Source organism: Homo sapiens, chromosome 16, assembly GCF_000001405.40.
Source record: "Homo sapiens chromosome 16, GRCh38.p14 Primary Assembly".
Taxonomy (NCBI): domain Eukaryota; kingdom Metazoa; phylum Chordata; class Mammalia; order Primates; family Hominidae; genus Homo; species Homo sapiens.
Window position 1 is genome coordinate 24,375,956 of NC_000016.10, and position 26,611 is coordinate 24,402,566.

At 44.4% G+C, this 26,611-nt stretch overlaps 1 pseudogene, besides 3 other annotated features; it reads right to left on the reverse strand.

Moving 5' to 3' along the window:
* Positions 5,653 to 6,852: an enhancer, noted in NCBI's record as "MED14-independent group 3 enhancer chr16:24392929-24394128 (GRCh37/hg19 assembly coordinates)". NCBI's record gives its function as "activates an origin of replication core promoter dependent on BRD2, BRD4, P300/CBP and CDK7 cofactors, and independent of MED14, by STARR-seq in HCT116 cells {active_cell/tissue: HCT116}" and the evidence as "EXISTENCE:reporter gene assay evidence [ECO:0000049][PMID:35650434]".
* Positions 6,826 to 7,515: an enhancer, noted in NCBI's record as "OCT4-NANOG hESC enhancer chr16:24394102-24394791 (GRCh37/hg19 assembly coordinates)". NCBI's record gives its function as "activates a minimal SCP1, AML or CMV promoter by ChIP-STARR-seq in primed H9 embryonic stem cells {active_cell/tissue: H9 hESC(primed)}" and the evidence as "EXISTENCE:reporter gene assay evidence [ECO:0000049][PMID:30033119]".
* Positions 20,971 to 21,050: an enhancer, noted in NCBI's record as "active region_10599". NCBI's record gives its function as "activates an Ori minimal core promoter by ATAC-STARR-seq in GM12878 lymphoblastoid cells {active_cell/tissue: GM12878}" and the evidence as "EXISTENCE:reporter gene assay evidence [ECO:0000049][PMID:35858748]".
* Positions 24,107 to 24,161, reverse strand: RNU7-24P (RNA, U7 small nuclear 24 pseudogene; annotated as a pseudogene).

Below are 26,611 nucleotides of genomic sequence, written 5' to 3' on the forward strand. Positions count from 1 at the left end.
GCTCACTGCAATCTCAGCTTCCTGGACTCAAGCGATCCCCTTACTTGAGTCTCCTCAGTAGCTGGGCATCATGCCTGGGTATTTATTTTTATTTTTTATTTTTGTAAAGATGGAGTCTCACTATGTTGCCCAGGCTGGTCTTGAACTCCTGGACTCAAGCAATCCTCCCACCTTGGTCTCCTAAAGTGCTGGGATTACAAGCATAAGCCACCATGCCTGGCCTAGTTTATTATTTATTAATTCAGCAACTGTTTATTGGGCACTGTGATAATCACTTTTATGTGTCAATTTGGCTAACCTATAGTATGGAATTATTCAATCAAACCTAATCCTAATCCAGATGTTGCTATGAAGAAATTTTGTAGGCATGATTAACATGTACAGTCAGTTAACTTTAAGTAAAGGGGATTACTCTCAATCTTCTGGGTGGGCCCGATACAGTCAGTTAAAGGGCCTTAAGAGTAAAACTGAGGCTTCCCTACAGAAGAAGAAATCCCACCTGTGGACAGCAACACCAGCTCTTACCCAAGAGTTTTCAGCCTGCCCTTCCTAACAGCCTGCTCTATGGATTTTGGATTTACCCAGCCAGCCTCCACAATCACATAAGCCCATTCCTTGCAATAAATCCTTTCACAGCCTTAACTCTCAATATCCTCTTCCTTCCCTGCCTTCTTCCCTCTCCCCACCATGACTTTTTTTTTTTTTTTTTTGAGATGGAGTCTTGCTCTTTCGTCCAGGCTGGAGTGCGGTGGCACTATCTAGGCTTACTGCAACCTCTACCTCCTGGGTTCAAGCTATTCTCCTGCCTCAGCCTCCTGAGTAGCTGGGATTGTGGGCATGCACCACCACACCCAGCTAATTTTTTTTTTTTTTTTTTTTTTTTGAGACGGAGTCTTGCTCTGTTGCCCAGGCTGGAGAGCAGTGGCACGATTTCAGCTCACTGCAACATCCGCCTCCCAGGTTCAAGCAATTCTCCTGCCTCAGCCTCCCGAGTAGCTAAGATTACAGACTCCACCCCACACCCAGCCGATTTTTGTATTTTTAGTAGAGACGAGGTTTCACCATGTTGGCCAGACTGCTCTTGAACTCCTGACCTCATGATCTGCCCGCCTCAGCCTCCCAAAGTGCTGGGATTATAGGTGTGAGCCACCATGCCTAGCTCCCACCACCATTTTTAAAGACATGAAACCTGAATCTTATTCCCCACTTCCAGTCTTGACTCCTCTCTGACCTCTGACCCTCTGGTCCTGACTCTCATAAGAGAAGTCTAGAATGGCTGACTCCATCTTGCTACTAGCTTCACAGACTGTCTGTCCTCACTCATTCTTGGGCATAGGCCAAGCTAACCAAAGGAAGAATTTCATTTATAGTTTAACTTTGAAGCAAGGATAATAATAGCTGCTCCCTAAAACTGATCCCTTCCTTGTTTGGGGACTGAAACCGATTTTGTAAGAATAACGAAAGGTCACAAGATTAGGATTATGGGAGGGGCCTAAATTCTGCCAAGATGTAGGCATAGAAAAAGGATAATCAGCCAATGTCCCCTAGCTTGCTTTTCTATAATCTGTTTGCTTGACAGTTATATGTCCAGAGGTCACAAGATTTATGACTTCTTTAATTGCTCCTGTTGATAGCATCACTATTGTAGAACCCGAAATTGGTCTTTTGAGATGTTTTTCAGACTTTTGCATTCTGGCAGCCAACTGCCTCCACCTGGACCTCATGATTCCTGACTCAGCCCCCAGAGGCTGACTGAGCATACAAGGACTGTTTCCCATACCCCGATGATTTCATCCCCAACCAATCAGTAGCACCCACTCCTTAGCCTCCTGCCCACCAAATTACTTATAAAAACCCTAGCCTCAGCCAGACGTGGTGGCTCACACCTGTAATCCCAGCACTTTGGCCGGGTAGATCACCTGAGGTCAGGAGTTCAAGACCAGCCTTGCCAACATGGTGAAACCCCATCTCTGCTAAAAATACAAAAATTAGCCAGGTGTGATGGTGGGTGCCTGTAATCCCAACTATTTGGGAGGCTGAGGCAGGAGAATTACCTGAATCCAGGAGGTGGAGGTTGCAATGAGTGGAGATTGCGCCATTGCACTCCAGCCTGGGAGACAAGAGTGAAACTCCATCTCAAAAAAATAAAAAACAAAACTCTAGCCTCTGAGTTCTTCGGGAGGCTGATTTGAGTACTTACTCCCATCCTTCCATTCAGCTAGCCCTGTGATTATCAGACTCTTTCTCTCTCTTTTTTTTTATTCTTCTTTGAGATGGAGTCTCACTCTGTCACCAGGCTGGACTGCAGCAGCATGATCTCAGCTCACTGCAACCTCTGCCTCCCAGGTTCAAGCGATTCTCCTGCCTCAGCCTCCTAAGTAGCTGGGACTATAGGCATGAGCTACCACGCCCAGCTAATTTTTGTGTTTTTAGTAGAGACAGGGTTTTACCATATTGGCCAGGCTGGTCTCAATCTCTTGACCTTGTGATCCATCCTCCTCGGCCTCCCAAAGTGCTGGGATTACAGGTGTGAGCCACTGTGCCTGCCTAAAGTCTTTGTCTACAGCAATATGGCTGTCTCTGTTAATTGGTTTTATCTGTGCAGCAGGCAAGATGAACCTGTTACACTCACTCCTACTAGTGCTCACCTGCTTAGAGATCAAGCAGCTTCTTTTCCTGTGCCAGGTGTCCCAAGGGCTAAAGGACCTCAGAGAGCAGAAACTTTGAGCTATGTGACCATGACTGACTTGCCACACAAAGCTCCCCTACTACCCCAGGCTTATCCTCCCTATCTTTAAAATAGGCCCAGTTCTAGTCCCTGCTCTGTGGCTTTAGGCAAGGTGCTTTCTGTGCTTCAGTTTACTCAGCTGCTGAAGGGCATCAGAGCATGCCACCCCAAAATATGACACTTTGGCATAAGAATTATTTTGAGCTGAAGGCAATTGAGAAAAAAACAGCAGATGCAGAAAAGTTCTCTACCCTCTACTTTCTATATAAAGGCAGAGCATAAAAAGGTGTCCGGGCTCCCTTCTGTCATACCAGGAAAAGGAGATGACTCTTATCACTGGAGATTGCACCAGCTTGAATCTGCATAAACAAACCTTACTGAAATAACCATTATCTTCTCTTTATTTCCCCCTTTTCTAGGTATTTATCTTCCCACAATTTACCACCCCCAGAAGCATAAAACCTTTTCCTTTGTCTTGTCACTTTGTCTTGTCACTTATCCACACATTTATTGCTCTTTGTTAAAATGGTATATAACCTCTCAGGCCTAACCACTTCTTTGAGTTTTCATTTCCTTTTCTGTGAGATCCATGTATACACGTACAAAATTAAATATTAGCAACAAATACAATCTGTATGCCTTTATCCTTTTGTCAGTTCAATTTATAGGGTCCTAGTTACGAAATCTAAGAGGGTAGAGGGAAAAAAATGTCTCTCTACACTGCAAAATGGGGATAACAATAGAATCCTACTCACTGAGTGCAGTGAAAGTTTAACAAGATGATGCCTACATGGCACTTAACACATGACTGGCTTATAGTCAATACTTAATAAATTATAACTTGTTCAATCATTAGAAATACAAGCCCTATCCACCCCCAGCCTCAGTATCTTTATCCTTTAAGGTTCCAGGACAATTTAGAGAAGGCAGAACAATTCAGTCACAGAAACTTATCTGGTTATAATAACCTCAAAGAAGCAGGCAATCCCCACTCCAAGCCTACCTTAGGAAGGGGAACTTCTATGAACATTTTAGGAACCCAACTCCTACAACCTTTTCTCCAAACCCAGCCCCTCTCATTCCATAATAAAACACTTTGGTTAAGAAGGAAGCCAAGGGGAGCTGGCTTCTCTCTCCTCTACCCTGATCCACTCTCTGGCACCCAGGATCAATATTGCCATTCTGGATGTGGGGGAGTTACACAAAGTCTTGTGCCTTTGAAGTGCTTGAATTTTCATTTCACATTTTATGTATCAAGAGGGAAGAGGACCATAAATCATTATTGGCAAGAAAGACAGGAGAAACAGCAGAGGTCAGTATTCTAAAGCAATTAGTTGGGACAACAGAGGGAACAAAAGGAAAGACATTATGCAAATGGAAGGCCATTCCACCTTGAGAAGATAATGTCTGCTTTGAACATAAAGGAAGCGGTTTAAATCAGCCCAGTTCATTCCAATTCTGTTTAAATATTAAGCTTCCTCATGAGTAATATTAGGCCGGGGTAGCATCAGGCCTCTGAAACATTAACACTTTCCTATTCCTCCATAATTATGTTGGTAATATTCACTGTATTAGATTTTAAATAATTCACAACACTGAACAGGAGTGAGTACAGCAATAAATCTTACATTTCTCCAAAATAACTTAAACCTGATTGGAGCCTATACCTATCTCTTTTCTTGCAGGTTTCTCCTGTATAGCTTTTTAAATGTCCCCTTAATGGGGAGATGGTCTTTGATAAGAAGTTAATCTCAGGAAGTGAGTAGAGTCTGACTTCAGTTACATTAGGAGACAGTGAGCCACAATTGAATGGGAAAGATCCCCCTAAAACTATTCGCACAGTGTTGACAAGAACTACATGCCGGTTTCTGGACAGAAATATAGTTATAATTAAGCCCTAATCAGGCTGCACTCTGCCCCACTTCCTTGTTGCTAAAGTCACATAGCACTGGACACTGACCATTGCATCCTCATGATTCCTATAGATAAGATTTTGGACAGTAGGGTCCTAAGACTGTTTAAGAATTGACTTTTAGCTAGGCATGGTGGCTCACGCCTGTAATCCCAGCAATTTGGGAGGCCATGGTGGGCAGATCACGAGGTCAGGAGTTCAAGACCAGCCTGGCCAACACAGTGAAACCCCGTCTGTACTAAAAAATACAAAAATTAGCCAGGCATGGTGGCACACGCCTGTAGTCTCAGCTACTCAGGAGGCTGAGGCAGGGGAATCACTTGACCCTGGGAGGCAGAAGTTGCGGTGAGCCAAGATTGTGCCACTGCACTCCAGCCTGGGTGACAGAGTGAGACTCTGTCCCAAAAAAAAAAAAAAAAATTGACTTTTGGCTGGGCGCAGTGGCTCACGTCTGTAATCCCAGCACTTTGGGAGGTTGAGGCGGGTGGATCATGAGATCAGGAGACCGAGACCATCCTGGGCAACATGGTGAAACCCCATCTCTACTAAAAATACAAAAATTAGCTGGGTATGGTGGCACACGCCTGTAATCCCAGCTACCCGGGAGGCTGAGGCACAATAATCGTTTGAACTCAGGAGGCAGAGGTTGCAGTGAGTTGAGATCCCGCCACTGCACTCCAGCCTGGCAACAAAGTAAGACTCCATCTCTCAAAAAAAAAAAAAAAAAAAAATTGAGTATCATCCCCATTGTTCCTGACATTAGAATCATAAGGCTTTTGTTTAAGAATTACTTAAGATGTTTTTCAGATCTCAAATTCCAGTGAAACAGCTGATGCCAATCAGTTTGAAGATCCCCAGAGGAACAGGATCAGCATGAGAACACAGCTTCTTCATCCCCCTGTCCCATAACTTTACTCTGCACTCTTCAACCAATCAACAATCTCCACACTCCAGCTTACTCCAAAACCCTTAAAAACCCTATCCCCAAATTCCTTGTTGGGAAAAAGAGCTCGGAGTCACAAAGAAAACAAGCACTTAGAGAACATCTCAGCAAGGCAAATTTACTTCTGCAGAAGGGTGCATCTTGCATATGGAGCAATGGCAAGAGAACACAGAACAGAGGAAAGCAGGGGTTTTTATTAACTCTACTGCAGCTTCTGCTTCTGTGTCTTTCCCCAATTGGCTAGGGTTGGACTGCACAGTCTAAACTAGTCCCAACTGACTAAACATTTTAACTTTCTTAGATAAGGTAGGCATGTAAGGGAGGTGACAAGAGAGAGAAGGGGGGTTATTTATGGAGGGACTAGGAAGGTAACCTATTCCCTAATAAGGAAAGGAATGTGGACTGGGGTTGTGGCAAGTTCAGGCATGCCTAGGCATATTCAGACAAGATGGGGCACAGCAAAGGCAAGGGGGTATTTGGAATTATAGGATAGAGAACGGGGAAACTGGATAAGTTGTTTGAAGAGGGGACCTAACTGTATCTAACATTCCTCAAGAAGTTGGAGATGGGATTTCCCTCCCATCTCCTCATTTGGTGGCCCTCTGCTGCAACCTGATGTCTTGGCATATCAACTTGCTGTGTGCATCAGGCAACAAATCTATTATGGTTGCAACCCCTTTCCTTGTACCCCCCATCCATGGGACCAGGACTCTTTCTTTCTTCCCTCCCCCTCCTCCTTCTCCACCAGGAGAAACAGAGATCAGAGCATATTCCTCTCCACCAGCAGAAGAGGGCAGAAGACAGTAGACACCTGAGATGGTAAATTTTTGGCAACAGACCGGGCGTGGTGGCTCATGCCTGTAATCCCAGCATTTTGGGAGGCTGAGGTGGGCAGATCACTTGAAGTCAGGAGCTCGAGACCAGCCTGGCCAACATGGTGAAACCCTGTCTCTACTGAAAATACAAAAATTAGCCAGGTGTGGTGGTGGGCACCTGTAGTCCCAGCTACTTGGGAGGCTGAGGCAAGAGAATCACATGGACCCGGGAGGTGGAGGCTGCAGTGAGCTGAGATAGTCCCACTGCACTGCAGCCTGGGTGACAGAGCAAGACTGTCTCAAAAAAAAAAAAAAAAGGCAGCTTAGATGGTTGGAGCTTTATTGTCTGTTGAAGAGGGATAGCAGATTTTGAGGAAGGGACATTTGGGGACATTTGCAGGCTTCAGAGTGGGGAGGAAAATATTATAGGCCAGCTTCCATGCCTTGAGGGTCCACTCACCCATTGTTAACACCCTCCTTGATGTCACACATGGTTTCTGTTTCATGTGCCAGTGCTCACACTATCCTTCAACTGACCGCAGCTGTTGCAATGCATGGCAGTTCTAAGGGAGAATCTCACTCCACAGAGTTGAGCATTTGCTTAGCGTTTCCACTTAGAGCTGTCACCATTACCCCCAATTAGCCACCCAGGAAGTTCTGCCTTTTTATCTTTCCCAGGGACACGTGCAAGAGCTATTCATCTCCTTTAAGCTCTTAAAAAGCTCTATTTCATTCTTCCAAGACAATGGGGCTACTCACCCTTTAAAAGTAGTTCATGGATTGTTCCCAGGAGGCCCACAGTTACCTGAGAGCTTCTCTTATTTGTTCCTTAAAGACTGACTATTATTACTTCCCCTTTCCTAGAGAATAGAGCCTGATTTCCTCCAGAGGGGCCCAGAGCATCACAATAAAAAGGCCTTTTGTTGCTCTGAGGAAATTCATCTTCCCAAGAATGATAACATGACCTTCCATTACCTCTCCCGCTAGGACAGAGGAAATAACTCTAATTCTGACATGGCGTCTGCTATGTAAACCAAAGCTGGGTTATCTTTAGAGACAGTCTTTGGTGTGTTAGGATTTCAGCTGCCTGGCGGGGACTTTGCTCCACAGAGTCCACCTCTGCCATCCCCTAATCATAGGATAGAAACTAAATCTTTCATTCGCCAGTGGGAAATAAACAGCTAGTGTTGAAACTGGACTGGGGCAGGGAATACAGGTGTATGTTTCCTTCAGTCCAAGAACAAACGCTTAAGTCTTTTTAATTTTTAGAGACAGGGTCTTGCTGGAGTGCAGTGGTGCAATCATAGCTCACTGCAGCCTTGAGCTCCTGGGCTCAAGTGATCTTCTCATCTCTCAGCTTCCCAAGTTGCTGGAACTGCAGGCACACACCACCATGCCCTGCTATTTTTCAAAATTTTTTTGTAGATATGTGGTTTCACTATGTCTCCCAGATTGGTCTCAAACTCCTGGCCTCAAGCGATTCTCCTGTCTCTGCCCCCAAAAGTGCTGGGATTACAGAACACTTAAGTCTTAAGAAAGTGTTTCTTTCCTTAGTCCATTTATTTTATTATGTATTATTATATATTAACTACATTTATATTCATTATATAGTTATTTATTAATTGCAATATTGTATGTTATTATTTTCCTCTCCCTCTAAAGTCTGTTCAGTGCTCCACATGCCCTGTCCTCAAGCTGAGCTCTACCTGCCACCCCCAGAAAAGTAAGACCCCAATTCCCCAGGCTGGCCTCATGTGTTGCAGAATCTGCCATCTCAGGCGTCTCTTGAATATGAAGAGACTTCTCCTCTGCTCTTTTTGCTGGTGGGGAGGGTAAGCTTTGATACATTCTTCTGGTTTCTCCAGATAGTGAGGAAGAATCCTTGTCCCATGAATGAAGGTGCAGGGTAAGATAGGGAAGTAGACATACCCACTCTAGGCTATGGCTTGTTTTCTCTCAAGGCAACTGAAATCAAACACAATGCTAACGTCCCTTTAAAAACCCCCACCACAAATAAATGTTTTTGTCTCTCATGACTTGACTTTGACCTATTCATCGACAAGTAATTAATCTGGCTTTATTATGCTAAAGACACAGCTACTCCTTTTTTTGACTTGGGTTTTGTTGTTTTTTGTTTGTTTGGGGGACAAGTTCTCACTCTGTTGCCCAGGCTGGAGTGCAGTGGTGCAGTCTTGGTTCACTGCAACCTCCGCCTCCCGGGTTCAAGCAATTCTCCTGCCTCAGCCTCCTGAGTAGCTGAGACTACAGGCGCATGCCACTGTGCTCAGCTAATTTTTGTATTTTTAGAAGAGACAGGGTTTTGCCATGTTGGCCAAGCTAGTCTCGAACTCCTGGCCTCAAGTGATCCATACACCTTGGTCTCCCAAAGTGCTGGGATTACAGGCGTGAACCACTGCACCCAGCCTTAACTTGGGTTTTATTACAATGCAGCCCCAAATTACCTCCTCTACTTAACTTGCAGGTCAGATTTTTTTTTTTTTTTTTTTTTTTTTGAGACTGGGTCTTGCTCTGTCACCCAGACTGGAGTGCAGTGGCACAATCTCAGCTCACTGCAACCTCTGCCTCCTGGGTTCAAGCAATTCTCCCACTTCAGCCTCCCAAGTAGCTGAGATTACAGGCATGTGCTATCATGTCTGGCTAATTTTTTGTATTTTTAGTAGAGACAAGGTTTCACCATGTTGGCCATCCTTGTCTTGAACTCTTGACCTCAGGCGATCCGCTGCCTCAGCCTCCCAAAGTGCTGGGAGGCCCGCCACTGCGGGCCACCCACCTGTGCCCAACCACCGCACCCGGCCACGTCAGATGTTTTCAACTATGGCTAAACATTAGAACCACCTTGGGAACTTAGAAACAGACAAACAAAACCCTATGCCCTATCCACTGTGATCTGAGAGACCAAAATAGACTCCCCTTTATCAACTAAGATGGGCCCTATGGTTAGGGAAACAGAAGTTACCCACAGGTTGAGGGTTCAGAGTGATTGGCATGCGAACTCCGTAAATTGCTACAAGAAAAGCCACACCCTTTCTAAACTGCCTAACACAATAGGAGGTACCAGGCAAAGTACCAGGCCTCTCCTAACTCTGATTTACAACTCAGACCACTACAACTCTGTCGGACAGAGGACCGGTCTTTTTTTTTCTGATAAGCAACTGCAGACCTTAAGCCAGTTTTGGCAGTTTATAGAGGCTGTGCACAAACTGTTTCTGTGTCCTATAGTTCACTTTTTATGTAAAGATCAAAATTCCACATCATTTTAATGCTAGAACACTACCCCAAAGTGAGCATGAGATGTATGTTACATATATGTTTACCCAATTCACATGCACTCAGCGCCTCTCATAAATATGTACAGCCGTTCCCCCAGACTTGCTGAATATGTACAATACCAGTCCTGTGAGGCAAAAAACCCAACCTGCTCTTTCCCTCTTTGAAAAGAGAGCACCTTTGGTCCAGGCTGGAGACTGTCTCTTCCCAGTTTACAAACTGATATCACCAATAAAGCTCTCCTTTCTACTCTTTGGCCATATTGGTGGCCTTTTGGACAACGCTATAAACGGTAAACATACTCCTGCCCTATGTCCCAACAATCCCGTCCTCAAGTGTATGCCTAACAAAAACAAGTTCATCAAAAAATAAAAGTGAGGCTGCGCGCAGTGGCTTACGCCTGTAATCCCAGCACTTTGGGAGGCTGAGGCAGGAGGATCACTTGAAGTTAGGAGTTTGAGACCAGCCTGGCCAACATAGTGAAACCTCGTCTCTACTAAAAATACAAAAATTAGCTGGGCATGGTGGCACACGCCCATAAACCCAGCTACTCGGGAGGCTGAGGCAGGAGAATCGCTTGAACCTGGGAGGCAGAGGTTGCAGTGAGCCGAGACTGTGCCATTACACTCCAGCCTGGGTGATAGAGTGAGACTCTGTTTCAAAAAAAAAAAAAAAAAAAAGATAAGTGTACAGGCAGGGCACAGTGGCTCACACCTGTAATCCCAGCACTTTGGGAGGCCAAGGCAGGCAGATCACGTGAGGTGAGGCGTTCTAGACCAGCCTGGCCAACATGGAGAAACCCTGTCTCTACTAAAAATACAAAAATTAGCTGGGTGTTTTGGTGAGAGCCTGTAATCCCAGCTACTCAGGAGGCTGAGGCAGGAGAATCACTTGAGGTGGAGGTTGCAGTAAGCTGCGATCTTGCCACTACACTCCAGCCTGAGCAACAGAGTGAGACTCCATGTCAAAAAAAAAAAAAGTGTACAACATGTTCATAGGAGCTTTTGTTACGATAGCCAAATAATTGAAAACAACCACATTTTCATCATCAATAGGATGGATCAATAATTTGTGATATATTCGTCAGTGGAATGAATGACTGCTGTCCCCACAAAGTGGATGAATCTCACATACTATACAGCTTCATTTATATGATGTCAAGAACAGGCAAAACCAATCTAGAGGTACAGAGGTCAGAATAGTGGTGCCCTGTTCTGGTGGGGTGGCAGGAGTTACTGCCTATGAGTGAGACAGGATAATTCCCTTCACCCACTTTGTGGGAGGGAACTGGAGTGGCTCATTTATCTCAGCCCACTACTGGCCACTCCTCACAAGAGGGAGCATGCAAGCAAGTGAGGGTGGGAACTGGAGCGAATGAATATTGGAACTGGCCAGTTGCTCCTCTATGGCAGGAGCAGGCTCTGTGCGGCCCCACAGCAGCATCCAAGTATATTACAACCAGTGTTCTTTCAGCTCTGCCACCCAGGGACAGCAAAGTGCCAACTAGCTCACTGGAGGGTCAGGGTGGTAGCCCCTGCCCTCTTGGCACCCGGGATCTTGTCGAGAGTCCAGGAACAATCAGGTCACAGGAACGGATTGAAAAGGTAATGAATGTGGAGGATTTTACTGGGCAATGGAAGTGGCTCTCAGTGGGATGGGGAGTTGGAAAGGGGATGGTGTGAGAAGAAAGCGATCATTCCCTGAAACCGGGACATCTCCGGCTGGGCCTCTCTCTAAAGCTGCACAGTCTGAAGTCAGCTGTGTCTATCCATAGTCTCTGATGCTCAGTTGCTTCTCTGTGTACCACTCAGCCACTTGTGTTGCTCTTCCAGCTGTAGTCTTTTTATGGACACAGGATAGGGGCATGGCAGGCCAAAAAGGCAACATTTGGGAGGAAAAATGGGGTCAGCTGTTTTCGCTTAGGGCCACCGTTCCAGGCTTGGGGGGGGTTTAGCCAGGATCCCAGCCATTCTGAATCAGGAGAGACTTAAGGAACTTCCTAGAGGGTGCTAGAAAAGTTCTAAAGCTTCATCTGGGTGGTGGTACATAGGCATAAACTTATGTAAAAATTCATTGAGCTGGCTGTGCATGGTGACTCACACCTGTAATCCCAGCACTTTGGGAGGCCAAGATGGCAGGATTGCTTGAGGCCAGGAATCCCAGCCTAAACAACATAGCAAGACCCCATCTCTATAAAAAATTTAAAAATTAGCTGGGCGTGATGGCTTGCACCTGTAGTCTTAGCTACTCCAGAGGCTGAGGTGGGAGGATCACCTGAGCCTAGGAGGGTGAGGCTGCAATGAGTGGTGATCATGCCACTGCACTTCAGCCTCGGTGACCTTCTTTCAAAACAAATTAACTAAAAAAAAAATTTTGTTGAGCTGTACAGTCAAGATTCAAGATTAATGTATCCTAGTGTAATATGTAACTCAATAAAAATTTTTGTAAAATAAGCAAAATTATATAAAATACAAAACACCTCTCCCTGAGAGTCTGATTTAATTGGTCCTCAGTGGGGCCCAGACAAGAGGATTTTTTAAGACTCTCAGGCTGGGAGCGGTGGCTCATGTCTGTAATCCCAGCACTTTGGGAGACTGAGGCAGGCAGATCACAGCCTGACCAAAGTGGTGAAACCCCACCTCTACTAAAAATACAAACATTAGCGTGGTGGTGCACACCTCTAACCTCAGCTACTCACAGCTTGAGGACATGACCCTATTAGTCACATTTAGTGAGGCACTAGAATTGCTTGAATCCAGAAGTTTGCAGTAAGCTGCGCTCCAGCCTGGGTGACTGAGCAAGACTGTCAAAAAAAAAAAGAAGGAAAAATTAAAGAATCTCAGAGGATTTTGAGATAGCCTCTCTCTGACCCCGTGGATCACCCCTCACAGCTGTGTGGAGAAGAGGAGCGAGTGTCAGTACATGCAGGAATCTCTGGTCAACTGGGCTGAAGCTGATGACTTGACCTTCGGACCTAAGGGGAACCTCTTGTTCCCCATTGGTCCACATCTTATCATCAGTGGGTCATTGAGACAAAAGCAAAGAGTGTTGAGGAAAGAAAAAGTGATCATGAGACAAAGCAGGGACTCCTCTTGGGGCCTTCTGGGCAACCCTCGACCATGAAAGCAAGGAAATAAAGGAAAAGCTTGAGTTCCTTCTGAAACCACCACTGCAAAATTGTAACTGAGATCTGACCTGACCAACTCCATCTTGCTTCTAACCTCCAGGCTGCCCTGGGCCTAGGCTGAACTAACTTTGGGAGGAACTTAGTTTATAGTGTAAAGCAAAGACAATAACAGCCCTTTCCCAAAACAAACCTCATTGCCTGGGGACTAGACTGCTTTTGCAGGACTAACAAATTAGCCACAAGATTAGAAATTATGGTTTAGGAGTCATGCAGCTAGAGGCTACAGGATTCTGACCCTCCCTATACTGCTCCTAAGATCAGTGCTTGAGATATTTTGCAGACCTTGCACTTGATGGATCGTCACCCAGACCCACTAACTGGCTTATCTGATCTTGTGACCTCCATCCAGGAACTGACCCCACGCAAGAGGACAGCTTCAATTCCCTATGATTTCATCTCCTACTTAACCACTCAGCAGTCCTGGCTCACTGGCTTCCCTACCACGCACCAAGTAGTCCTTAAAAACTGTGACCCCGAATGCTTGGGGAGACTGATTTGAGCAATAATAAAACTCCGGTCTCCCGCACAGCTGGCTTTCCGTGAATTACTCTTTCTCTGTTGCAATTCTCCTGTCTTGAGAAATTGGCTCTGTCTAGGCAGCAGGCAAGGTGAACCCACTGGGCAGTTACATTTCCAGGGAAATTCCAGGCACCTAGCTAGGACTGAGAAGTAAATGAGCAATTTGATAAGCAAGATGGTAATGGTGCTTAAAACAAAAGCCAAGGATGTTAGAGTCATGAGAATGTTTGGTTCCCCATAAAAACTAAAGACAAAAATCTTAACAAATGTGCCTGACTTATTTTTCAGAAATCTGGACCCCCACCAAATGGATCCACTGGGAGGCAGCCCTCAGAAAAGGGAGAACTGAGGATGGAACTCTGACTGCCATTTTTCTTTTTTTTTTTTTTTGTGATGGAGTCTCCCTCTGTTGCCCAGGATGGAATGCAGTGACACAATCTCAGCTCACTCTAACCTCCACCTCCTGGGGTCATGTGATTCTCCTGCCTCAGCCTCCCAAGTAGCTGGGATTACAGGCAGGTGCCACCACGCCCAACTAATTTTTGTATTTTTAGTAGAGACAGGGTTTCACACCCGGCCCCATTTTTCATCCTAAATTTCTTCCTGAGGGACCTGAAAGGGGTCACATCCACAAGCCAGAGCTAACAGTCTTTTCAGCTGATCCCAAATCTTTAAACAAATCTTCAAACAAATCTTCATCTCCTTAACCAATCACAAATCAGAAAATCTTTGAACCCACCTGTGACCTGTGGGCCCCTACTTCAAGAAGTCCCACCTTTTTTGGTCAAACCAAAGTACAGCCTTCACGTATTGATTTATGACTTTGTCTGTAACCTCTCCCCCTGTGACTTTAAAATCCCTTACTTGCGCTGGGTGCAGTGGCTCATACCTGTAATCCCAGCACTTTGGGAGGCCGAGGTGGGTGGATCACGAGGTCAGGAGATCGAGACCATCCTGGCCAACATGGTGAAACCCCATCTCTACTAAAAATACAAAAATTAGCTGGGTGTGGTGGTGCGTGTCTGTAGTCCCAGCTACTTGGGAGGCTGAGGCAGGAGAATTGCTTGAACCTGGAAGGTGGAGGTTGCAGTAAGCTGAGATCGCACCCCTGCCCTCCATCCTGGTGACAGAGCAAGACCCCATCTAAAAAAAAAAAAAAAAATCCCTTACTTGTAAGCCATCAGGGAGTTCAGGTCTGAGGCATTAGCTGCCCGATTCTCCTTGCTTGGCACCCTTAGTAAAGGCCACACTTTCTCTTATTGCAATCCTAATGTCAGGATTTGGCTTTGCTTCACCAGTGAGTAGACCCCCATTCTGTTCTGTAACACCCAGACCTACCCCAAGAAGGCCAGCTAGCTTCAGTTTCATTTAACTTTTTAGCTGCATGGGAAAGAAGAAAGCCTGGAAGAGGAGGAGCCTACCAAGCTTCAGGTCTTGACCCTCCAGTTATCCCCAACTTTGGCTGCCCATTAGAATCACCTGGGGTAGGCTGGACATAGTGGCTACCCATTCTCCTCAGTCCTAGGTTGGGTAATCTCAGCACTTTGGGAGGCTGAGGCGGGAGGATTGCTTGAGCCTTAGAGTTTGAGACCAGCGTATGCAACATAGTGAGACCCCCATCTCTACATATAAAAATAATAATAATACATGGCTGGGCGTGGTGGCTCACGCCTGTAATCTCAGCACTTTGGGAGGCCAAGGCAGGCAGATCACGAGGTCAGGAGATTGAGACCATCCTGGCTAACACGGTGAAACCCCGTCTCTACTAAAAATACAAAAAATTATCCAGGCGTGGTCGTGGGTGCCTGTAGTCCCAGGTACTAGGGAGGCTGAGGCAGAATGGTATGAACCTGGGAGGCAGAGCTTGCAGTGAGCCAAGATCGTGCTACTGCACTCCAGCCTGGACAACAGAGCGAGATTCCATCTCAAAATAATAATAATAATAATACAAAAATTAGCCAGGCATGGTGGTAGGCACCTGTAGTCCCAACTTCTCAGGAGGCTAAGGTGGGAGGACGACTTGAGCCCAGGAGTTTGAGGCAGCAGTAAGCTGTATTGTGCTACAGCACTGCAGCCTGGGGGACAGAGCAAGACCCCGTGTCTTAAAAAAAAAGAAAAGGAAAGAAAAAAAAAAGAATCATTTGGGGAGATTTTTAAAAATCTCGATGCCAGACTGTTACTCCAGATCAATTGTATCAGAATCTCCTGGGGTAGAGGGACAATGCGTGAGTATTTTGTAAAGCTCCCCAGATGACCCCATTGTGGAGCCAAGGTTGAGAACCACTGCTCTTACCTCTGCAGCCAAAGATGGCCACAAATATCATGTCAATGCACTGTGACCTTGGCCACTGGTAAATGTGGCCCCTTGTTCTGGAATCTGACCCAATTCTCTTAAAGGGAGATGGGAACAGGAAAGAGGAGCGGTGGCCACCTCCTCCCCTTGCCAGCTCTGGGAAAGGTGCTGTACTTGTGTCGTGTGTTGAAATATAAAGCCTCTCTCTCGAGGGCCCTACAATCTCACAGCTTGAGGAGGACATGACGCTATTAGCCACATTTGGTGAACAAAAACATCGTTGCATAGGCACTGCATTATTCTACAGTCAGTTTGGTTCCAATGGGAGTCATGCTTCTTGGAATCCCCTTCCCTATCAGGCTCCTGGTGAGAGCTGCCAAAAGTGAAGGTGTATGAGATGTGGGAGGCAGGAGGGAAGCAGCACCAGGGCACTCTGAAGGTTCAAGGTGGTGAGGACAGTCCAGAGGTGTTGGTGGGTTCCAGCTTATCTTTGCTCTCCCTACACTGTGTCCAGCTCTTCTTCCACAACACAGGACCAGCTCACCAGCAGTAACTCCCATCCATCACCAGATGTGACTGAACCAAACTGGGGCTTGCTTGCCCAGTGCAATAAAGCCAGATGCTGATGCTGAGATTTGCAGTGGGAGAAAAGGGCATTAACTGCATGGTACCAAGCAAGGACAATGAATAGCTAACACTCAAGACCTGAACTCCCCAGTGACTTACAAGCAAGGGTTTTTAAAGACAAGGGTACATTTCAGGAAAGCAGCAATTGCAGGCAAAATCATAAACCAATACATGAAAGTCTGGCCCATGTGTGTGACTCTCTCCACAACCCCAGGAAATTTTAGAACAAAGAATGGCTGTCAGAGTTCCGTCCTCAGTTTCCCCCACCTGGTGTCTATGTGATGGTGGTAGCATTTTCTAACTGGTGGGGGTTTCTGAAAAGCAACTCAAGAACTTGTGTTAAGATGTTATTTTTGCCCGGGCGCAGTGGCTCACACTTGTAATCCCAGCACTTTGGAAGGCCGAGGTGGGCGGATAACGAGGTCAGGAGTTCAAGACCACCCTGGCCAACATGGTAAAACCCTGTCTCTACTAAAAATACAAAAATTAGCCGGGCATGGTGGTAGGTGCCTATAATCCCAGCTTCTCGGGAGGCTGAGGTAGGAGAACTGCTTGAACCCGGAAGGCAGAGGTTGCAGTGAGCTGAGATCCTGCCACTGTACTCCAGCTTGGGCGAGAGAGTGAGACTCCATCACAAGAAAAAAAAAAATGTTATCTTTTAGGTTCTATAGAGAACCAAAACACCTGTGACTCCGGCTTGCTTGGGAGACTACTTTGTTACTATCTCCTCGTGTATCAGGCTGCTCATTTACTTTTTTTCTCGTTCTTTCTTTCTTTCTTTTTTTTTTTTTGAGACAGTGTCTCTCTCGTTCGCTCAGGCTGGAGTGCAGCGGCGTGATCTTGGCTCACTGCAAACTCCGCCTCCCAGGTTCAAGTGATTCTCCTGCCTCAGCCTCCTGAGTAGCTGGGACTGCAGGTGTGTGTCACTACGCCGGGCTAATTTTTATATTTTCAGTAGAGATGGGGTTTCACCATGTTGGCCAGGCTGGCCTCGAACTCCTGACCTCAGGTGATCCACCCGCCTTGACCTCCCAAAGTGCTGGGATTACAGGTGTGAGCCACTGTGCCCGGCCTCATTTACTATTTTTTTATTTAATTTTACTTTATTTTAGGTTCCAGGATACATGTGCAGGTTCATTACATAGATAAACATGTGCTATGCTGTTTTGCTGCACCATCATGCTCATTTACTTTTTATAAGGCTAGCTAGGCGCCTGGAATTTTCCTGGAAGTCCCTTAAGAGGGGTCCCTGCTCCATCTTAATGTGGCTTCACAGAGGCAGCAGCTAATGAAGACCCAAGAGCCTTCCATGGGCTTCTCCCCCAGCCCCTTTGGGGTCTCACATCTGCCACTGAATGTGACCAGTTTCTGGGCTGCCCTGCAAACTCTGACTCATTCATCTGCATATCAGTGTTGCAGGACAGCTGGCAAGCTCCTTTTCTTGGATCCCCTCACTCCCTTTCTTTGGACTTATATTTCCACAGTTCCTCCCACAGTTGTGTAAGGTCAAATTCTTATCCCTGATTCCCTAACACTCACTGTCGTTCTGCTTTCTGATTCGACCTTGACGGATACACCATAGAAGGGAATGGGAGCCTTCCAGAATGCTGGAATTGTTCTACATCTTCATCTCTCTAATGGTTACATGAGGTCTGTACATATTTAAAAATTCATCACATTTTACACTTGAGATTAGTGCACTTTACCATTCATGTGCTACATTTCCGATAACTTTTTTTTTTGAGATGGAATCTTGCTCTTGTCGCCCAGGCTGGAGTGCAATGGCACGATCTTGGCTCACTGCAACCTCTGCCTCCAGGTTCAAGGGATTCTCCTGCCTCAGCCGCCTGAGTAGCTGGGATTACAGATGCCTGCCACCACGCCTGGCTAATTTTTGTATCTTTAGTAAAGACAGGGTTTTGCCATGTTGGCCAGGGTGGTCTCGAACTCCTGACCTCATGATCCACCCACCTCGGCCTCCCAAAGTGCTGGGATTACAGGCGTGAGCCACCGCACCCACCCGATAACTTTTTTAATAGAATAGCTCAAGAGACTTTATCAGACAAATACATTAAAGTATAACAACAACAATAGGTTGAATGCAAGCCCCATTTGTTGCTCGCCTGGACCACAGACTCCTGGCCGCAGAGCATCTTTCCCTGCTGCTGCTGAATATGCAGCAGTCCTTCAAAGGACTCCTCTGCCTGCTGTCTTCGACAATAAGCGATCATGATTACAAACGGCTTTAGACTGGAGAAAGATCTTTGGTCTTCATTAAGGTTTATTTGTGACTGTTCCGATGGTGGTTTCTGGGAGAAGAGAAAGAATGCCGATGGTAATTAGGCCCTCCTAATTGCAGTAGTCACTGATTGCCTGTATTAAAAACATTGGAGGAAGTGTAGCAATTAGAGCTTCGGGAAATATTTAAAAAACAAAGTGAAAAGAGGCCTCTGAGTGCAAGGACATGGAGAGACAGCCAGGAGCCCCTGCCCAGCTGCAATGGACCCTTAGCAACCCTAGACATCTGGGCGGCTCACCCCTGGGACAGTGGCCATGACAGTCTCAGGAGGAAGAAGTGAGTTTCCTCCCAGTCATTTTCCAGACACGACTGTGAATCCACCCATGGAGAAGCAACATAGGAGGAAGACATTTTGCAAACAATCCATAAGAATAACAATAATCTCAGATATGTAATAATTATATTAACATGTTAAATCCATACAACAAGCCATAGCATTGTTCCCATTTTAAAGAAGAAGAAACAAAAGTCTTCATTTGCAGAGAAAGTTGAAGACTTTCTCAAGGTCACACACACAGCAGGTGGCACACCCCAACTCAAACCCAGATCTGTTTGATTTCAAAGCACATGCCTGGAACCATTCTGTTATTCTGTGTCATCCTCAGCTCCAGAGCCCTGGATCTGTCTAGCCACCAGCACCCCGAAAAGTGAGCTTGCAAGCTTTCCCCACTCCCTCATACCAGCCCTTCAGCATTCCTCCCTCAAGAACCTGCTTCCAGTCAACAAACCAGCTAATGACTCCTTTGCCCATCCTCATCCTTCCCCAGCTCCTGCTGGGGAGAGCCTCTCAGCCCCTCCAACCAAGCTCTATGAGAATGAGGTGAAGGCATTTCTTCACTCCCTTTCCCAGATGAGATCTGAGATCCAAGGTCCATCATCTGTTCCTGTAATTCTACTTTGAAGAATTCTAATCATTTTCATTGCTCATCTCCAAACTTCTTCAACTATCAACCAAACTCATTTGGCTTCTTGGTCCCCACCTACCCTTAATCCAGAATGTAAGCTCCATGAGAGAAGACACTGAGGTCTGTTTTATTTCCTGCTGTAAACCTGGCACATAGAAGAGTGACCAACACATAGTAGGTGCTCAATACATATCTGCCAAATAAATAAGAGCTTTCTGTTATCCAAACAGAAATACATTGTCTCCATTTCTGGGCATCTCTTCATACATGATGCTTTCTCAATTGCCAGAAATGCATCCTCTATATTTCTTTTTATCAAACACTTTCTATAGAAACATACTCCACAACTTCATAGGCTGGATAGGTCAATTTGTCCCTTCTTAGAGCACAAGATGCATTTACATTTCTAAAGCCTGGCCAGGGCCACTAGCTCATGCCTGTAATCCCAATGCTCTGGGGGCCCAAGGCGGGAGAGTTGCTTGAGGCCAGGAGTTCAAGACCAGCCCAGGCAAAATAGTGAGACTCTGTCTCTCTATTTTTTTTTTTCTTTGAGACAGGATCTCACTCTGTCACCCAGGATGGAGTGCAGTGGCATGATCTTGGCTGACTGCAACCTCCACCTCCCAGATTCAAGTGATTCTCCTGCCTCAGCCTCTCAAGTAGCTGCAATTATAGGCATATGCCACTTCACCTGGCTAATTTTTATATTTTTGATAGAGATGGGTTTTACCATGTTGGCCAGGCTGGTCTCTAACTCCTGGCCTCAAGTGATCCACCCGTTTTGGCCTCCCAAAGTGCTGGGATTACAGGCATGAGCCACCACGCCCGGCCTTTTTTTTTTTTTTTTTTTTTTTAATTTCTAAAGCCTGACTTAGGATTGCCTCTATGTCACTGTGCAGTGCCCCTCTAGATAAAGATGTTTTCAAATTCACCTGTGTGGTGCCCTGGAAAGAGAGCGTTCAACCACACATGTACTATGTTCAGGAGGAAACAAGATTAAAATTTTATTTCCATCTCTTAATTGGTACTGACGTCCCAAGAGAAATACTGGTCCATTAAGTAAGGAATGCTAATTGCTTACTCACCTCCTACTGACAGTGATGACAGGCTTGGTTAAGGGTTTTTATTAAGGCCCATTAAAGGGAAGACTGTGTGGCAAGTTGCTGGGTTGCTTGGGAGGCAGAGACTTGAACAGAGAAGCTGAGGGGGTGCTGGTGGGAGTGCAAAGTGTAGGAAGGTGCAGGTGAATGAGGAAACAGATTCTGGGGAAGGGAGGACAGCTGGGAAGAGTGTAAGTCACATAGATCACATGCCTCGAAAATGGTTTTGGATCTGAAATAGTTTGTTGTAATTTAAAACAAATTTAATCCTTACTGATTGTGTTAGTTCATTTTGTGCTGCTAGATGGGAATACTTGAGGCTGGGTAATTTTTTTTTTTTTAAAGGTCTAGTTGGCACACAATTCTGATGTCTGGAAAAAGTTCATGATTGGGCATCTGCATCTGATGAGGTCTTCAGGCTGTTTCTACTCCTAGTGGAAGGTGAAAGGGAGCTGGTGTATGCCGATCACATGGTGAGAGAGGAAGCAAGAGAGAGAGGGGAGGTGCCAGGCTATTTTTAACAACTGCGCTTGGCCAGGTGCAGGGCTTGTAATCTCAGCACTCTGGGAGGCCAAGATGGCAGGATCGCTTGAGCCCAGGAGTTTGAGACCTTTTTGGGCAACTTAGTGATACTCTTATCTCTATAAAAGAAATAAACAAAATTAGCCTGTCATGGTGGTGCTCTCACCTTCAGTCCCAGCTACTTGGGAGACTGAGGTGGGACAATCATCTGAGGCCATGAGACCGAGGCTGCAGTGAGCCAAGATTGTGCCACTGCGCTCCAGCCTGGGCAACAGAGCCAGAACTTGTCTAAAACAAAACAAAACTAAACAAAAACAGAAACAAAAACAAAGCAAGCTCTCACAGGAGCTAACAGAGTGAGAACTCACTCACTCCCAAGGGAGTGCATTAATCTCTTCATGAAGAATCTGCCTTCATGATCCAAACACCTCCCACTGGACCCCCTACATCCCAATGCTGCCACACTGAGGATCAAATGTCAACATGAGCTTTGGTGGAACAAATATTCAAGCCAGGGCACTGATATATGCACCAGGTGCATATCTCCTATATGGCTCAGCAATTTCATGCCTAGGTATTTTATCTACATCAAATGAAAATATACATCTGCAAAAAGACCTGTGCACAAATGTTCATAGCAACCTTATTCACAATAGTCCCAAACTGGAAATAATCCAAATGTCCATCAAGAGGAAGATGGATAAACAAATTGTAGTATGTCCATACAAGTTCAATATTCCTTATCCAAAATGCTTCAGGCCAGAAGCATTTTGGATTTTGGATTTTTTCAGACTCACATTATACTTACCAGCTCAGCATTCCTAATTCAAAAACCCCCAATCCAAAATGTTTCAATGAGTAATTCCTTTGATTATCATGTCGGCACTCAAACAGTTTTGTATCTTAGAGTATTTCAGATTTTGGATATTTGGATTAGAGATGCTCAACCTGTTCTACTCAACAATACAAAGTAATAAACCACTGACACCTACAACACGATGAATGAACCTCCAAAACATTATGTTTGACAAAAGAAGTTGGTCACAAAAGGGAACATACTGTATGACGGCACTTATACAGTCTAGGCTTAGCCTAGGCTAATTGAATCTATGGCGATAGAAGAATTAGATTGAACAGAAAGGGGCATGGGATGATGGAGATGCTTCATATCTTACTTTAGAATGGTTACTACACAGATGTGTACAATAGTCAAAACTCATCGAACTGAACATTTAAGGTCTGTACATTTTATTCCATGTAAATTATACATTGATTTTTTAAAATGTTTTAAAAAATTCTGCAAGTTGTGTTTTTCATTTTTACAGGTGAATATCAAAGTTCAAAGTGAGTGAAGTGGTGGAGCCAGAATTTATGACCAGCTTTGACTGATTCCAAAGCCCATGCTATATCTTATGACCACTATATTAAAACATTCAAAAGTTCCTCTGCTAGGAAAATTAGGCAAGAAAAAAAAACGGCATTCAGATTGGAAAGGAAGAAGTAAAACGATCTCTATTTGCAGATGACATAATCTCATTTATAGAAAATTCTTGTTTTTTTCTTTTTTTTTTTTTTTGTTGTTTTTTTTGAGACGGAGTTTTGCTCAGTCGCCCAGGTTGGAGTGCCATGGTGCAATCTCAGCTCACTGCAACCTCTGTCTCTCGGGTTCAAGTGATTCTCTTGCCTAAGCCTCCCAAGTAGCTGGGATTACAGGGATGCACCACCACACCCAGCTAATTTTTTTTGTAATTAGTAGAGGCAAGATTTCACCATGTTGGTCAGGCTGGTCTCAAATTCCTGACCTCAAATAGTCCACCCACCTCAGCCTCCCAAAGTGCTGGGATTACAGGTGTGAGCCACCATGCCCAGTGGTATATAGAAAATTCTAAGGAATACACACACACAAAAAACTAGTAGACCTAATAAACAAATTCACCAAGCTTGCAAAATATAAGAGCAATATACAAAAATATTTTATACAGTAGCAATGACCAATCCAAAAACGAAAATTAAGAAAACAATTACACTTACAATAAGATAAAAAATAATCAAGTATTTAGGAATAAAATCAATGAGAAGTGCAAGACTTGTTCACTGACTACTGCAAAATATTGAAAGACTTAAGACTTAAATAAATGGAAAGGCATCCTGTATTCATAGATCAGAAAGCTTCATATTGTTAAGATGGCAGTATTCCTTAAACTGGTCTATAGATTCAGCACAATCCCTATCAAAATCCCCACAGCATTTTTTGCAGAAATTGATAAACTGGCTCTGAAATTCATACAGAAATCCAAGAAATCCAGAACAGCCAAAACAATACTGAAAAAGAACAGAGCTGAATAATTCCCCATTTCTAACCTAGAGTTCACCATTCCCCATTTCTAACCTAGAGTTTCAAACACAGAGTAACAGTATGAAGATAGTGTGGAACTGGCATAAGGATAAACACATAGATCAGTGGAATAGTATTGAGAGGTCAGATATTTATAGTGAACTGATTTTCAACAAGAATGCCAAGACAATTCAATTAGGAAAAAATAGTCTTTCAACAAATGGTGCTGGGACAACTGGATATTCCTATGTAAAAGAATAAAGTCAGATCCCTACCTCACATCATAAACAAAAATAATATCAAAATGAATCATATCTAAATGTAAGAGTTAAAACTATAAAACAGCTAGAAGGAAATTCAGGAGTAAATCTTTATGACCTTGAGTTAAGCAGCAGTTTCTTAGGTACGACACCAAAAGCACAAATGAAAAGAAAAAATACATAGATAAATGGGACATTATCAAAATAAAAAAAAAAATTTGTGCTTCATATGACACCATCAAGAGAGTGAAAAAACAACTCACAGAATGGGAGACAATATTTGAAAATCAAATATCTGATAAGGGCCTTGTATCTAAACTATATAAAGAACTATTGCAGCTTTTTTTTTCTTTTACTTTTGGCTGGGGAGGGGTTCCGGGTAAAAATCAGAAAACCTGCTAGACAAATTCTAAAAGAGCTGTAACACTAATGCAACTCCGTAATAAAATGACAACCTAATTTTAAAATGAGCAAGAGATTTGAAAAGAATTTCTCCAAAGACATATAAATGGCTTATAAGCATATGAAAAGATATTCAACACCATTAGTCATTAGGGAAATGCAAATCAAAACCACAATGAGATACCACTTCACACTCACGAGAATGACAAAAATATGAAAGACAGACAATTACAAGTATTAGCAAAAATGTGAAGAAATTGGAACCCCTATACATTGCCAGGAGGAGCATAAAATGGTGTTTCTCCAAAGTTACCATATGACCTAGCAATTTAATGGTAACTCAGTTATCATTTTGAGTTACCACATGACCTAGCAGTTGCACTCTTACAGATATACCCAACAGGATTGGAAAGTATGTCCACACCCAAACTTGTACAAAATGTGCGTAGCACCATTATTCATAATAGCCCAGAATTGAAAACAACCCAATTGTCCATCAGCTGATGAATGGAAAAATCAAAGACATATCCATACAATGGAATATTATTCTGCCATAAAAAGGAATAAAGTACTGGTATCTGCTACAACACGAATGAACCTTGAAAATACCATGCTAAGTGAGGGAAGCCACACCCAAAGACCACAGGTTGTATGATTCTATTTATAGGAAAAGTCCAGGATAGGCAAATCCCATTTTGAGACAGTAAGTAGAAAAAGTAGATTTGTGGTTGCCAGGAGATGTGGAGAGGAGGAAATGAGCAGTAATTGCTAACGAGTATGGAGCTTCTTTGGGGAGTGATAAAAATGTTCTAAAATTAGATCATGGTGATGGTTGTACAGCTTTGCCTATGTAGTAAAAATCACTTAATCATTTAATGGTACACTTTAAAGGGGGTAGGTTTATGGTATATGAATTCTATCTCAATAAAGCTGTTATTTAAAAAAAAAAATTCATCTCCTGGAAAGGAGAGAGAGTGGGGTACTAAACTAAGTACTAAAGGGCTTGAAATGAGTAATGAGGTTTAAAATCGATGGCAGTGGGTGTGTAATAGGATTGCTAAGTGGTGATGAGTCCCTGTCTGAGATATAGTACCACAAAATTATAATGGCACCCATCTGCATGGTTGGGAGCATTTCACACCTGTGCCTTCCAGTTTATAGGTCACAAGCTCAGAGATCCCAGGCATTAGAGAAGGACCCCCCCCATCATGGGTACCATACCTGGCAGTCTTTAACAGAAAGAGCTGAGGAATACCTGCTTCTCCTTCCTGCCCACATCCAAAACACCCTGGTCTTCACGCCCAACCAGAAGAAAACTGAAGACTTGGCTCACTATTTCTCAAGTAGAATTTCTGGAACAAAAATATCTACTAAACCTGCTGCCTAAGCGTCAGGCAGGGGAAAGAATAAAAAGAAAAAAGAAAAGGAAGGCATTTTTCCTAGTAATTAAATCTGAATTATTCACAACCTGTTAGACACTTTTTTTCCCTCTGCTACAGAAGCATGCATTCTCATTTCTCCCCTAAGTCCTAAATGCCTTTGCAATCGAAGTTGAATTTTTGGCTGACAGCCTTCACTTTATAAGTAGAGCCAGGGTCCCAGGCCACACCTTCACCTGAGTCATCGACAGACCCATTCTCCAGCTCAACCCCTGAGCTGTTCAAAGGGGCTAGCTTTACCTAATGCTTTCATCATTACCCCTCGATTAATTCCCCCAAGTCTTGTGTATTATGAAAGTTCCTTCAAGTGTTGCAGGTGGCCTAGTTTCAACTAACAGAGGCAAAGTGGGGAATTTATTGACCAAGGTAACTAAAATTTGGGAAGCCTAGGATGCAGCTGCTTTTAGGGACAATAAAACGAGGAACCAAGGTGCTCTTGCTTAGTAAAAGACACCTCCATCCCTCCCCCTTCTCCTCAACACATGCCACTCCCTGTTGGGTGATACTTTTCTTTTTCTCAGACCTGTTTTCTCCATGAAGCTGCAAGCATGGCAACAAATGGTGGCCAAGCTCACATCTCCTCCCATAGTTCTAATCCAGAAAGTCCCCAGGAAAGCTCTGATTTTCTTAGCTCAGGTCATATGCCCTGTAGCCAAAGAAACAGGGCATGTTGTGGTTGGCAATCCCCATTAAAATAATATTATTGGAATGGGAGCAGTAGTGCCCCTAATGAAGGGAGTTGATGTTTCCAGTCAGAAGGGAGGCCAGGGCAAGCAAGGGTGCAGATGGTCATATCCATGGGAGCCAAATTTCTGCAGCCTGGTGGGAAAAGCTTAGGATCTGGACCCAGAACTCCCAGGTTTGGACACATCTATATCAGCAAGCAACGTGATCTTGGGCTCAGTTTCTTTGTCTATAAAATGGGCATAATCATTCAAGGGAGTAGAGAAAAATCTCCATCTCTTGATAGAAAGAGCTGCAAAGTATCATGGCTGATTTTGAAATCTACCATAGTCAGAAACAGCCAGAAGGGTGTG